This window comes from Homo sapiens, chromosome 5 (assembly GCF_000001405.40).
Source record: "Homo sapiens chromosome 5, GRCh38.p14 Primary Assembly".
In the NCBI taxonomy this organism is placed as follows: domain Eukaryota; kingdom Metazoa; phylum Chordata; class Mammalia; order Primates; family Hominidae; genus Homo; species Homo sapiens.
In genome coordinates this window covers 39,331,620-39,346,523 of record NC_000005.10, presented here as the reverse complement: position 1 = coordinate 39,346,523, position 14,904 = coordinate 39,331,620, and the positions used below count along the sequence as shown (strand labels likewise).

The following is a 14,904-nucleotide window of genomic DNA, read 5'->3' as shown; positions in this document are numbered from 1 at the left end:
ATTGTCTCAATTTCAGAGCCTGTTATTGGTCTATTCAGGGATTCAACTTCTTCCTGGTTTAGTCTTGGGAGAGTGTATGTGTCCAAGAATTTATCCATTTCTTCTAGATTTTCTAGTTTATTTGTGTAGTGGTATTTATAGTATTCTCTGATGGTAGTTTGTATTTCTGTGGGATCAGTGGTGATATCCCCTTTGTCATTTTTTGTTGCATCTATTTGATTCTTCTCTCTTTTCTTCTTTATTAGTCTTGCTAGTGGTCTATCAATTTTGTTGATCTTTTCAGAAAACCAGCTCCTGGATTCATTAATTTTTTGAAGGGTTTTTTGTGTCTCTATGTCCTTCAGTTCTGCTCTGATCTTAGTTATTTCTTGCCTTCTGCTAGCTTTTGAATGTGTTTGCTCTTGCTTCTCTAGTTCTTTTAATTGTGATGTTAGGGTGTCAATTTTAGATCTTTCCTGCTTTCTCTTGTGGGCATTTAGTGCTATAAATTTCCCTCTACACACTCCTTTGAATGTGTCCCAGACATTCTGGTATGTTGTGTCTTTGTTCTCATTGGTTTCAAAGAACATCTTTATTTCTGGCTTCATTTCGTTATGTACCCAGTAGTCATTCAGAAGCAGGTTGTTCAGTTTCCATGTAGTTGAGTGGTTTTGAATGAGCTTCTTATTCCTGAGTTCTAGTTGGATTGCACTGTGGTCTGAGAGACAGTTTGTTATAATTTCTGTTCTTTTACATTTTCTGAGGAGTGCTTTACTTCCAACTGTGTCGTCAAATTTGAGATAAGTGCGATGTGGTGCTGAGAATGTATATTCTGTTGATTTGGGGTGGAAAGTTCTGTAGATGTCTATTAGGTCCACTTGGTGCAGAGCTGAGTTAAATTCCTGGATATCCTTGTTAACTTTCTGTCTCACTGATCTGTCTAATGTTGACAGTGGGGTGTTAAAATCTCCCATTATTATTGTGTGGGAGTCTAAGTCTCTTTGTAGATCTCTAAGGACTTGCCTTATGAATCTGGGTGCTCCTGTATTGGGTGCATATGTATTTAGGATAGTTAGCTCTTCTTGTTGAATTGCTCCCTTTACCGTTATGTAATGGCCTTCTTTGTCTCTTTTGATCTTTTTTGGTTTAAAGTCTGTTTTATCAGAGACTACGATTACAACCCCTGCCTTTTTTTGTTTTTCATTTGCTTGGTAGATCTTCCTCCATCCCTTTACTTTGAGCCTATGTGTGTCTCTGCACATAAGATGGGTCTCCTGAATACAGCACACTGATGGGTCTTTACTCTTTATCCAATTTGCCAGTCTGTGTCTTTTAATTGGCGCATTTAGCCCATTTTGCATTTAAGGTTAATATTGTTATGTGTGAATTTGATCCTGTCATTATGATGATAGCTGGTTATTTTGCTCATTAGTTGATGCAGTTTCTTCCTGGCATTGATGATCTTTACAATTTGCCATGTTTTTGCAGTGGCTGGTACTGGTTGTTTCTTTTCATGTTTGGTGCTTCCTTCAGGAGCTCCTGTAGGGCAGGGCTGGTGGTGACAAAATCTCTCTGCATTTGCTTGTCTGTAAAGTATTATATTTCTCCTTCACTTGTGAAGCTTAGTTTGGCTGGATATGAAATTCTGGGTTGAAAATTCTTTTCTTTAAGAATGTTGAATATTGCCCCCACTCTCTTCTGGCTTGTAGAGTTTCTGCCGAGAGATCTGCTGTTAGTCTGATGGGTTTCCCTTTATGGGTAAGCTGACCTTTCTCTCTGACTGCCCTTAACATTTTTTCCTTCATTTCAGCTTTGGTAAATCTGACAATTATGTGTCTTGGAGTTGCTCTTCTCGAGGAGTATCTTTGTGGCATTCTCTGTATTTCCTGAACTTGAATGTTGGCCTGCTGTGCTAGGTTGGGGAAGTTCTCCTGGATAATATCCTGCAGAGTGTTTTCCAACTTGGTTCCATTCTCCCTGTCACTTTCAGGTACACCAATCAGACATAGATTTGATCTTTTCACATAGTCCCATATTTCTTGGAGGCTTTGTTCATTTCTTTTTATCCTTTTGTCTCTAAACTTCTCTTCTCACTTCATTTCATTCATTTGATCTTCAATCACTGATACCCTTTCTTCCAGTTGATCGAATCAGCTACTGAAGCTTGTGCATTCATCACGTAGTTCTCGTGCCATGGTTTTCAGCTCCATCAGGTCATTTAAGGACTTCTCTACAGTGGTTATTCTAGTTAGCCATTTGTCTAATCTTTTTTCAATGTTTTAGCTTCTTTGCATTGGGTTCGAACTTCCTCCTTTAGCTCAGATAAGTCTGATCGTCTGTAGCCTTCTTCTCTCATCTCATCAAAGTCATTCTCCATCCAGCTTTGTTCCATTGCTGGTGAGGAGCTGTGTTCCTTTGGAGGGGGAGAGGTGCTCTGATTTTTAGAATTTTCAGCTTTTCTGCTCTGTTTTTCCCCCATCTTTGTGGTTTTATCTACCTTTGGTCTTTGATGATGGTGACGTACAGATGGGGTTCTGGTGTGGATGTCCTTTCTGTTTGTTAGTTTTCCTTCTAGCAGTCATGATCCTCAGCTGCAGGTGTGTTGGAGTTTGCCAGAGGTCCACTCCAGACCGTGTTTGCTGGGTATCAGTGGCGGAGGCTGCAGAACAGTGAATTTTGCTGAACAGCAAATGTTGCTGCTTGATCGTTCCTCTGGAAGCTTCATATCAGAGGGGTACCCAGCCATGTGAGGTGTCAGTCTGCCCCTACTGGGGGGTGCCTCCCAGTTAGGCTACTTGGGGATCAGGGTCCCACTTGAGGAGGCAGTCTGTCCATTCTCAGATCTCAAACTCCATGCTGGGAGAACCACTACTCTCTTCAAAGCTGTCAGGCAGGGACATTTAAGTCTGCAGAGGTTTCTGCTGCCTTTTATTTGGCTATGCCCTACCCCCAGAGGTGGACTCTACAGAGGCAGGCAGGCCTCCTTGAGCTGTGGTGGGCTCCACCCAGTTCGAGCTTCCTGGCTGCTTTGTTTACATATTCAAGCCTCAGCAATGGCGGGCGCCCCTCCCCAGCCTCGCTGCCCTTGCAGTTTGATCTCAGACTGCTATGCTAGCAATGAGCAAGTCTCCATGGGCCTGGGACCCTCTGAGCCAGGTGCAGGATATAATCTCCTAGTGTGCTGTTTGCTAAGACCGTTGGAAAAGCACAGTATTGGGGTGGAAGTGACCCGATTTTCCAGGTGCTGTCTGTCACCCCTTCCCTTTGGTAGGAAAGGGAATTCCCTGACCCCTTGCACTTCCCGGGTGAGGCGATGCCTTGCCCTGCTTCAGCACACACTCAGTGGGCTGCACCCACTGTCCTGCCCCCACTGTCTGATGAGCCCCAGTGAGATGAACCCGGTACCTCAGTTGGAAATGCAGAAATCACCTGACTTCTCCGTCACTCACGCTGGGAGCTGTAAACGAGCTGTTCCTGTTCAGCTAGCCTTTTCTGTGGTTTAAGAGGCCTAACTATAGGAAGGATCAGTGTCAGGTCAGGCAAGTAGAGGTAGGGAATTTGTAGGATTCTTGTTGGGTGGTTTCTGGTTCTGATGTGTTTTCTTTTTTTTGTAATTATCCTGGGTGATATTTCAACCAGAAGAGACTCAAATGGTGAACCAACGGAGAAAGGAAAGTTCAAAGCCAGAAAAGCCTTGCTGAGCAGTGGGCCTAGGGGTGGAAAGGGAGGCATAAGTGCCAAAATATATGATGTTAAAACTCAGAAAGATCAGGAATAAGTCCTGAAGTGAAGTGTGAAGTGGCAAGGCATCCAGTTTAGGGCATACAGAATACCAGAGAGGGGAAACCTGATTTATGAGGTGCCCGCTACAGGAATGGCTGGGCCTGGGCTGGCTGGCTTAAATTTGCAAGAGAATGAGGTAACTTAGCCTCACCAGATTCTTGGGAGGGGTGGGGTATGGTGGATGGGAAGGAAGACACACAAAAAAATAAAATCAGATTTCTGGCTTCATTATGTTCATAATCTAGTTGGAAATATAAGATTAATCTATGTAAAACACCTGGAAAGATGCTTTGCTAGTTTTCCTCATTGCCGTTGTTTTGTTGTTTCAAATATTTGCATTCCTGGGAAGTTAAAAGTTAACTTACAATACAGACAAGAATTAACAAAAAGATGAGTTGAAAATACAAAACAGCATGCAATTGAGGGTGAAATGAGAGATATAGTAAAAAGATAAGTGGTATAATTTGAGAGGGGATAAAGTACAAAATGAACTGTGTTTATGAAGACTTCTTGGAAACAGATATACACAATGGTCATTATAAACTGGGATGTTCTGTTATCTTAGTTATGACCCAGAGCTAACAGAAAGCAGTGGCTCTGCATCACACATAGACTGCAGAATGAGCCCCTGGAGTGAATGGTCACAATGCGATCCTTGTCTCAGACAAATGGTAAGTGTTCATCTCCCTTCCCCACTGACCTCCCCAAATGGAAACTGTATTGCTAGCCTCTCCAGAAAAATGATTATGAGGCAGGGAGCCCCACAACTGAGTTCCAAACCCAGAAAGAGAGATAAACATTTAAATGTATGTTGCTAACTTTTCCAGGAAATCTTTATGTTGTACAGAATACTAAATGAGTGTCCAGAGGAATCATCTGTATAAGAGGCTGCCAAACCTAGAATGCAGAGTGTTACCCTAAATAACATCAGTGACTTCTTCCACCACTTCTATCTTAAAACCATTGACTCATTGCAGGGATATAGTTGTATGGATGCACCTTTAGACCATACCCTTTTTTTGGCATTAGAAATTCTAATCATTCCAACTGATATTGTGCAGTTTCGTTCAAGAAGCATTGAGGTCTTTGGACAATTTAATGGGAAAAGATGCACCGACGCTGTGGGAGACAGACGACAGTGTGTGCCCACAGAGCCCTGTGAGGATGCTGAGGATGACTGCGGAAATGACTTTCAATGCAGTACAGGTAATCTTTGTGCTTGAATTGCTCATTGTGGCTTTCTGTGTGCCTTCCTGAATGAAAAGAAAAAAAAAAGCATATGCTTCTGGACACTTGGATTTCCAAGCGTGAAAGGCCCCAAAAGAGGCCATCTATATATTCTGTACAAAGAACTCAAATGTGTTTTTCTGATACCTCACCTCCAGGGTTAAAATGCATTTGATAACTTCAGAAAGAAAGAGAAAATTTGACATTAGATACATTGAGTCTCTCCTGATTTTGATTGCAGGCAGATGCATAAAGATGCGACTTCGGTGTAATGGTGACAATGACTGCGGAGACTTTTCAGATGAGGATGATTGTGAAAGTGAGCCCCGTCCCCCCTGCAGAGACAGAGTGGTAGAAGAGTCTGAGCTGGCACGAACAGCAGGCTATGGGTGTGTATTTTACTTGTACTTTTTCAGATGAAAATGAGTGAAAATGATCTCCATCTCTCTCATTGTGATAGACTGGTAGAAGCATTTGTGCGAGGGACATAGGTGATACAGCTGATGGGTCTGTATTATTTTTGAACTACCTTTAAGCTTAAAGGAAGTGCTAAATAAGCATCTCAGGATAATTTGGACAAATTGCCTGCCCTCAGTAGGGGTCTGTAGAGTGGACTAGATGATCAAGATGTTAGATAATTGTCTCTCAGTGGAGCAAGAGATGAAATCTCTCATTTAGGAACCTCTGGGAGACCACAGCAACATTGACATGATATGTTAACATTTGGAATGAATTTCCAATACGAGATCTAGCAATTCAATTCAAATATTTGCATTGCTGGGAAGGCTGTCTTCCATTGGAACTTCTCCTGGATCTTGGGAGTTTCCAGCATTCTGGAGCTGACCCAGGAGGAATGTGATCAGAGGAAGTAGTTTTGATGCCAGAGGATGATTATGTTGAGGTTCTGGTTCTCATTATAGAGAGCTGACATTTCACTCATTTTCCATACAAAACCTAGGGGCTCTGGACAGATGGCTGTAAGCTCAGATGGGATGTCTTGGAGTTTAGAACTCAGGATTATACAGAATAGAGACTATATGCAGAGAGATTCGGTTCTATTCTGTTCTGTTCCATACATAGTCAGAGGGCATCCTAGGAATATCTACTACACAGCCTCTCTTACTCACTCTGAGCTGTTTTTGGTAAAGGTGGATTTGTTGCTATTTTTGGTAAAGGTGGATTTGTTGGAAAATTGTCCCCAACAAAGACATGGTCATTCTTCCACCCAGTAGTATATTGAAAGAGATGGTATATGGCTTTATTTCCTCACCTATAATGTAATGTGTCTCTTTATGCTCATAATTCCTGTGCCTGGGTCATAGTAGGTGCTCAGTAAATACTTGGTAGGTGGATACATTGGCTAATTATTAATTAATGAATATCCTTTAACTACTTTCTAAAATATTGTCAATTGGCATCATGTAAGACTGAATTTCTTTTCCCGGATAGGACTCCAGTCCCGGGTATGGAGATGAGGAGAGGAAAAAAGACAGGGGTGATGGTAAGAGCAAGGCTGGTAGAAGGGTAAGGCAGTGGTTCTCAATCAGTGGTAATTTTTCCCCCAGCAGACATTTGACGATATCTGCGGCGGGTCACGCCTGTAATCTCAGCAATTTGGGAGGCCGAGGCGGGCGGATCACGAAGTCAGGAGATCGAGACCATCCTGGCTAACACGGTGAAAACCCATCTCTACTAAAAATACAAAAAATCAGCAGGGCATGGTGGTGGGTGCCTGTAGTCCCAGCTACTTGGGAGGCTGAGGCAGGAGAATGGTGTGAACCCAGGAGGCACAGCTTGCAGTGAGCCGAGATCATGCCACTGCACTCCAGCCTGGGCGACAGAGCAAGACTCCATCTCAAAAAAAAAAAAAAAAAAAAAAAAAAGAGAGAAAAGACAGTATCTGGAGACCATTGTAGCTGTGACATCTTGGAGGGGGTGAGAATGGGGAGTGCTATTGGCATGTAGTGGGTGGAGGCCAGAGATGATGCTAAGCATAGGACAGCCTGACCCAAAGCGTCAGTGCCGAGGTTGAGAAACCCTACACAAAGTTACTAGGCAGTTCCTATGATAAGACCTCTATAAAGTTTAGCTAATGAAGGAGATGTCTCCTCTCTCTAAGCCAAATGAAACTTCTACTTCTTAAATCTAGGTAAGAAAAATATCCCAGGATACCAAGAGTCAGGCACCAGATAAAGCATTTCACGTGCCCTTCATGCACTTTATAAAATCTTGTTCAAGCAGCATTCAAAATTACTTACAGTGCCTTTGGCCCTTAGCCTAAAGGTGGGAATCTCAAATCAAATGGATGGTCTTAGGCCCCTAAGTTCTGCAGGCCCTCTTAGTAAATTTTAGGCAGTAAATGGCATGGGAGTTTTCCCAAATCTTATAACTAGATCATGGTGTGCTCAAATGGTCCTGATTCTTTTTATTTATTTCCTCAGGGAAAGATTGTGAGTCCATGGTGAAAGCCCATTACTACTTTATTTTGCTTTAATTGGGATCCAAGAAACAACTTTCTTTTTAATCTAAATAAAACAGCTTAACATATGTTATTTATTCTCATTCAATGCAAATTTATAGTTTGTCTTATAGGAAAAGAATATAGAAATATTGGCCCATTTAGCTGAAAAACAATCATTCATAATCTATTGGTTTCCTTTGTTCAGGGAAAAGAAAAATTTGTTGCATAGCATTTGTCAGAGAGTTTCATAATGAAGCAGGGCTAGCTAGGAATTCTTAAATACCTCACGCTTTACCACAGTCAGGGTTGGTGTTAGGAACCATCCCACAGCTGAGTCTTCAAGGCTGTGTAAGAAGGTGGTGCCCTAGCTATGGGGAAAGGTCAGCTGCAGAAATGGAAAATGAAGTAGGTCTTGATAGAATCAGTCCATCAACATTTTTTAATTAAATTCCCCATTACCATGAGTAATAACCTATGTTAAATTTAGTCTTCATGAAACCTATTGTTCTATGACGACTTTCATTTGCATAATACTTTAAACTTTTCAAAATATTTTTCCACACTGTATCTCCATAGATTTTCCAAATAATACTGGGAGATTGTTAGAGGAGGTATTATATTCATTTTATAGATAAGAACTGAGTGAAATAAATAAGGCCATTTGACTGATTAGTTCTAGTAGAGCTGAAACAAGTTTCTCTGAGTCTCATAAAACTATATTTTTCTACCATACCACCTTACCCTCTCCTCCTTAAAACCCCAACCAACACCCACAGCGGTTCCCTCACATCACTACAAAATCCGTAAGTCTTAACTTCGACACCTTAACTTCAAAGCAAAACTAACCTTAAAAAATGAAACTCCTTAAGTAGCTACTTATCACACAAATATTTGAATTAAGGAATATAGGAGAGTGGTATAAATCAGTAATTAATATTTAGGAAGAGGTTTCAAAACAACATATATTGTTATATTTGTAATATTCTTTCATACCATTAATGTTGCATGTTTACTCACTACAAACCTCCAGTATTCTTATATGGAGCTGTGGATTCTTTGTGAAATAGAGGTAATAGGAGTACACTCCCTAATCATAGCAACATGCTTATAAACTACATCTACCCAATTCATTCTGGACAACCTCAAAAAGTCCTATCAATAGTCACATACAGTTAGATTCTTCTACATGTGAAAGTCACAAGCACTCATGGTAATTAATTTATACTGTTTTCATTTGAAGGCCTCTCACATCTATGTTCTTATGCCAGGAGAATTGAGTTGTATCACAAATGTTTCAGCCTCTTATTTGTAGGCATCTGAGATTCTCCAGAAGTGTTTGGGGAAATCCCCCAACCCATCTTGCATTCATTGAAAAGGCATACATCCAGCCAGCTGTAAGTGATATGCAAGGAATTATTTTTTGTGATCTAAGCATAACACCACTTCTGTGAAGGGAGCTTTCTCTTCAGTTCACCTGGTAAATTGGAACTGCCCGTGGTTCTAGATGCAGGTGTGAAAGCAGGCATCTATAAGCACTGCCAAAGAACATATTCTTTTTTTATTTCCCAGGTGATGACTTTCCATCCATGAGAAGTGTTCATGTTTCTTGGCAGAAAAAATTGGCTTATTCTGGACTAGACTGGCTGTCTCTGTAGTAGTGGAACCAAGTCCAAAGCTTTTGAAACATTTCTTCCTTTGTTGTGCTTTAGACTGTGGATCAACTTCATTTTAACTTTCCAGATGGGTCCAGCCAACTGGCCAATTTGATGATCTATAAAACAATAACCTTCAAACTAGGATATGCAAACCATGGGGTGCACAAAAACTTTCCAAGGGCAGACAAATAAGTCTTAAGGTAATAGTTTCCTCAACTATTAATTATGTAGCTAAGCTAATAGTAAATCCTCAACTTCCATACGTACATGTTTTTCACAAAATTAATAAGCATGACAATTCAGCTGCATTCAAGCTGTCAGGCCCATTCTCCTTTCTTGCTTTTTTAAACAATCACTTACTTCTTACTTTTTAAGAGCAGAGTATACTCCTCACCCATCTCACACTCACATTTTACTATAGAGAGGAAAAAAAAAACAAGACACAACTCCAAATGTTAGCACTCAACTGGACTCTGACACCTTGAAGTTTTGTGATCTCTAATTCTTTTTATCAACACTGAAAGATTACCTAATCAACTTTTAGATAATGGAGCATAAAAATAATTTTTGATGAAAGATCACTAACTATGGGATCTCTTTTTGGTATATAACTCAGAAAAAGGGATTAAAATTGTGTGACATTGTTATAATAAAATTTCTTTTATTCTTATCTACTTATTTATGTGAGTAAAACTTCTCAGCACTTACAACTATAAAAATGAAAAGTAGGACTCAAATTGATACTGAACACTGTCTCTTCCTAGCACCATGAATGAATGAATGAAGTAATATTCATTCATGGATGTGGGAACCAACATATTAATTTAAAAAGAAGACTCATTCATTTCATTAAGATAGCTTTCCAATAAAATTTTACTTACAGTAATGATTTTTAAAAATTTAAGATACCTATATATGGCACTATTAATAAAGAATTTTTAATACTTAGACCCTATGGTCAAAGAGTATTTAATATTTTTAAATTTCAATTAATATCTTTTTGGTACAGAAAAGTATGACAAGACAATCAATAAAAACTTTAAAAAATAAACTATATTACATTAGGTTAAAATTCTGTGAGGGAAATGGAATAGAAATGTGGATTCAAGAATAAAAAGGGGCATAGAGTATATAGGAAGTCTGTGTGCCTTCTGTTCACTTTTGCTGTGAACCTAAAGCTGCTCTAAAAAGTAAAGCCTATTAAAAAAATAAATAAAAAGGAATAAAAATAACTAAAAAATTTCCAACTGTTAGAAAAATATCAATGCTGTGTGACCCAGCATCACTACAGCATTTATATTTATTGATTTTATCTTTAAAGTGGTAAAATAATTATATGTTAAAGTACAAATAATGACAACATTATTAGGAATTATATTCTTTGCATCTACTTAATCTTAAGATGAAAAATATTAGATGTCACGCTAAAAATGTGCAGGAAAGTATAATTTATCAAAATTCCTTTATAGCGGAGACAAACAGAGTATCTGAAGACCATTACCCTCATAACATGCCATTTCCGTCTCTGAGCTCTTACCCACACATTTCTCCTGCACTAGCCCCATCCCAATTTACCCACCCCTCAAAACCCATATCAAATCTTTCTTCTAAAACTCTTTTAATGACCCTCCCATGGTGATTTCCTCCTCCAGAAGACTCAATGTGTAAAGCACTCACATGTACCCCTCATTTGGCACAAGTACAATCCTCCCTTTCTACCCATCAGGGATCGGTTCCAGGACCTCCCACATGTACAAAACTTTCAGGATGCTCAAGTCCCTGATATAAAATGACATAGTATTCGCACATACCTATGTACATCCTCCTGTACTCTTTAAATCATCTCTGGGTTATTTATAACACCTGATACAGTGTAAATGCCATATAAATTGTTGCTATACTACAAGAGAAAAAAAGTTTGTACGTGCTTATCATGTACATTTTTTTCCAAATGTTTTTAATCCATGATTGGTTGAATCCACAGGCACAGAGCCCACAGATATGGAGGGCTGATTGTGTATTCTTCCTTGGCCTAGTTTTTGAAATTGGTGATTTTATGTTCTACTCCTTAATTTGAACACAATTTGCATGGAAGCAGAGAGTGAATATAAACTGTCTTAATATTCCCCCCTGCTAATTGCAAACACTGTACAACACATAGATATAGTAGTCACCTAAGAGCTAATCATCAATATAAACAAAAGTTGATTTCATTGTTCACTGAAAATAAAGAGGTACAATGTCTCTGTTAAAGTAGCCACACCAGATATGTAGTTCACTATCATATAAAGAAAATGTAGCTGAGATCTTGTTTAAGAAACAACCCAGGTCATTTGCTTCCAGTATTTTATGTCTTACTGGTGGAGAGCTTGTGTCAAAACCTTAGTGATACAAAAATAAGTGTTTATTTCTTTTTTTTTTTTTCCCAAGGCAGAAGAATTTTTCTTAGTACAGAACAAAATGAAAAGTCTCCCATGTCTACTTCTTTCTACACAGACAGAGCAACCATCTGATTTCTCAATCTTTTCCCCACCTTTCCCCTTTTTCTATTCCACAAAACTGCCATTGCCATCATGGCCCGTTCTCAATGAGCTGCTGGGCACACCTCCCAGATGGGGTGGCGGCCGGGCAGAGGGGCTCCTCACTTCCCAGTAGGGGCGGCCGGGCAGAGGCGCCCCTCACCTCCCGGACGGGGTGGCTGGCCAGGCGGGGGGCTGACCGCCCCACCTCCCTCCCGGACTGGGCGGCTGGCCGGGCAGAGGGGCTCCTCACTTCCCAGTAGGGGTGGCCAGGCAGAGGCGCCCCTCACCTCCCAGACGGGGCAGCTGGCCGGGCGGGGGGCTGACCCCCCCACCTCCCTCCCGGACGGGGCGGCTGGCCTGGCGGGGGCTGACCCCCACCTCCCTCCCGGACGGGGTGGCTGCCTGGCAGAGACGCTCCTCACTTCCCAGATGGGGTGTCAGCCAGGCGGAGGGGCTCCTCACTTCTCAGACGGGGCGGCTGCCGGGCGGAGGGGCTCCTCACTTCTCAGACGGGGCGGTTGCCAGGCAGAGGGTCTCCTCACTTCTCAGATGGGGCGGCCGGGCAGAGACGCTCCTCTCCTCCCAGACGGGGTTGCGGCCGGGCAGAGGCGCTTCTCACATCCCAGACGGGGCGGCAGGGCTGAGGCGCTCCCCACATCTCAGATGATGGGCCGCCGGGCAGAGACGCTCCTCACTTCCTAGATGGGATGGCGGCCGGGAAGAGGCGCTCCTCACTTCCTAGGTGGGATGGCGGCCGGGCAGAGAGGCTCCTCACTTTCCAGACTGGGCAGCCAGGCAGAGGGGCTCCTCACATCTCAGACGATGGGCGGCCAGGCAGAGACGCTCCTCACTTCCCAGACGGGGTGGCGGCCGGGCAGAGGCTGCAATCTCGGCACTTTGGGGGGCCAAGGCAGGCGGCTGGGAGGTGGAGGCTGCAGCGAGCCGAGATCACGCCACTGCACTCCAGCCTGGGCACCATTGAGCACTGAGTTAACGAGACTCTGTCTGCAATCCCGGCAACTCAGGAGGCCAAGGCTGGCGGATCACTCGCGGTTAGGAGCTGGAGACCAGCCCGGCCAACACAGCGAAACCCCGTCTCCACCAAAAAAATACGAAAACCAGTCAGGCGTGGCGGTGCGCGCCTGCAATCGCAGGCACTCGGCAGGCTGAGGCAGGAGAATCAGGCAGGGAGGCTGCAGTGAGCCAAGATGGCGGCAGTACAGTCCAGCTGCCGCTCGGCATGAGAGGGAGACCGTGGAAAGAGAGGGAGAGGGGAGACCATGGAAAGGGGAGAGGGAGACGGAGAGGGAGACGGAGAGGGAGAGGGAGAGGGAGAGGGAGATATAAGTGTTTATTTCTCACAAGGCTGGGCTTCACTGGGAGCTTCACCTCAAGCTGCAACAGCTGGGTGGTTCTGCTTTTCACTGGGATCACTGGGATAGCCAGGTTGAAGGGGCAGCAGCTACCCATTAGAAGCCCTTTTCAAGGCAATGGCACAAATACAGGAAAGCAAAAGCAATGAATGAGGCCTCTTCATTCCCATGCTTTGAACTGGCCCACTGTCACTCTCAACTACATGCCATTGGCTTAAAGTAAGTCACATGGCCAAGCACAAAGCCACTAGGGAGGGAAGTATACTTTGCCGGTGATGAGGTCATGGCAAGGGTGTACATGCAGAGATGGGTAAAGGATTGGGACAAAATTTTAATTTATCATGAGGAATAAGGTGTTTAAAAAAATAAATCAAATATATAATGTTTTTTTATTTTTTCTCATATTCAAATTAATAGGTCTAATTTTTGACCCTATATTAGAACTTTAAGGCCATAGCATTTTTCATGAAAGGTATTTTGGTGGGACAGGCAGTGGGAGGTGGTCAATTTTATCTATATGTCAGCCTTGAGGAAGATATTCATGCATCAGTTTCTTAACTTGCCTTCCATTAAAGTTGAACCATTTTAGATTCACTTTGGAACTTCGTAGATTCAAAGTTTATGTAAAATGTGCTATTTATATAAAGATGTTGTTTTTAACTAACCCACTACCAGTAGGAAACCCTTTCAATTATTTCTCTTGCATAAGCCATGGGTTTACAGTAAACTACCCACTCTTTGACAAATTGGTCTTAAAACCAACATCCAGATTTGTAATCCAGTTCATTGGAGTTAGGAATGTGGCCTAGGGCAATGGAAGAGTTTGTGTTTTTGTTTTTGTACCAAGGTAAGTTATAGATTTGATCCTCAAACCTATTGGCCTCCCTGGCTTGGGGCCGTTTATTCCAGATACAGCCTAGACAGCAATGACTGTGTTCCTCCAATGAACAGAGGTATATTTCACAAGGAAATAACTGCTTCTAGTTCATATATTGTTTCTAAGCCTACAAGTAAAATTAAACTTTTTTAAAAGCTAAATAAAATTTATATTTATGAATGAAAGCTTGCCAAATAAAAATATTTTGCTATGGGAAAAAATAGAACTTTTGAGAATGCCTTGCCAGGATGCTAAAATTTTTGTGTTCATCTTGGAGAGCATAACGGGAATAATATAAGCCTGGAGGGAATGAGGTTCTTGACAAGCAATGAGACAGCTGGAGGAAAAGGCTTAAGTTTAAAGAGAATGGGGTGAGTGAGAGAAAGCCCCAATGTTGATTCATAGATGAAAAATTACATGCACATGTTATATTGGCCCCCTGAGATGCTCTGTTCTCAAATAATTTAAATAGTTGGTATTACAGCATCAGTTATTGGTTCACTAAGGGAGGTTAGGTAAGAGTTACAGCAGTGAAGTTAAAACTCCAGGAACCAGATGGTCCCATGTGCCTTACTTATTGCATTTCTTTCATTGCACTCTAAACAGTGCCTTAGTTGCCTAAAAGAGTTCATAAGCCTCTCCTAAGGTATGCTTTCTGCCAGAGACACTGAGCCAAGGTGAACAGGCTCTTGCTTCTGTTCCTGATTATAGCACACACATATTGGGTGACGGTGACATGAACTGAAGCTGTCTCACTTTTTCCAGCTACAGAGGGCTGCCTTGCATTGTGTTGTGGTATTTCCACTTCTGATACTACTCTGTTCATTCTCAGGATCAACATTTTAGGGATGGATCCCCTAAGCACACCTTTTGACAATGAGTTCTACAATGGACTCTGTAACCGGGATCGGGATGGAAACACTCTGACATACTACCGAAGACCTTGGAACGTGGCTTCTTTGATCTATGAAGTAAGTCTCCTCGGAGGAAAACACATTGTTCAACTTTTGGCTGAAAAATTGCTTAA

The 14,904-nt window shown here is 42.0% G+C and overlaps 1 protein-coding gene across 1 annotated transcript in view; it reads left to right on the top strand.

Annotated features, from left to right (window-relative positions):
* Positions 1-14,904, top strand: part of C9 (complement C9) — an 80,356-nt gene that overhangs the window by 17,972 nt on the left and 47,480 nt on the right. The window contains exons 2-5 of the mRNA NM_001737.5: positions 4,328-4,433; positions 4,824-4,968; positions 5,231-5,378; positions 14,710-14,848. Of these exons, the coding sequence (NP_001728.1) occupies positions 4,328-4,433; positions 4,824-4,968; positions 5,231-5,378; positions 14,710-14,848 (538 nt within the window). The remainder of the gene's footprint in view (positions 1-4,327; positions 4,434-4,823; positions 4,969-5,230; positions 5,379-14,709; positions 14,849-14,904) is intronic.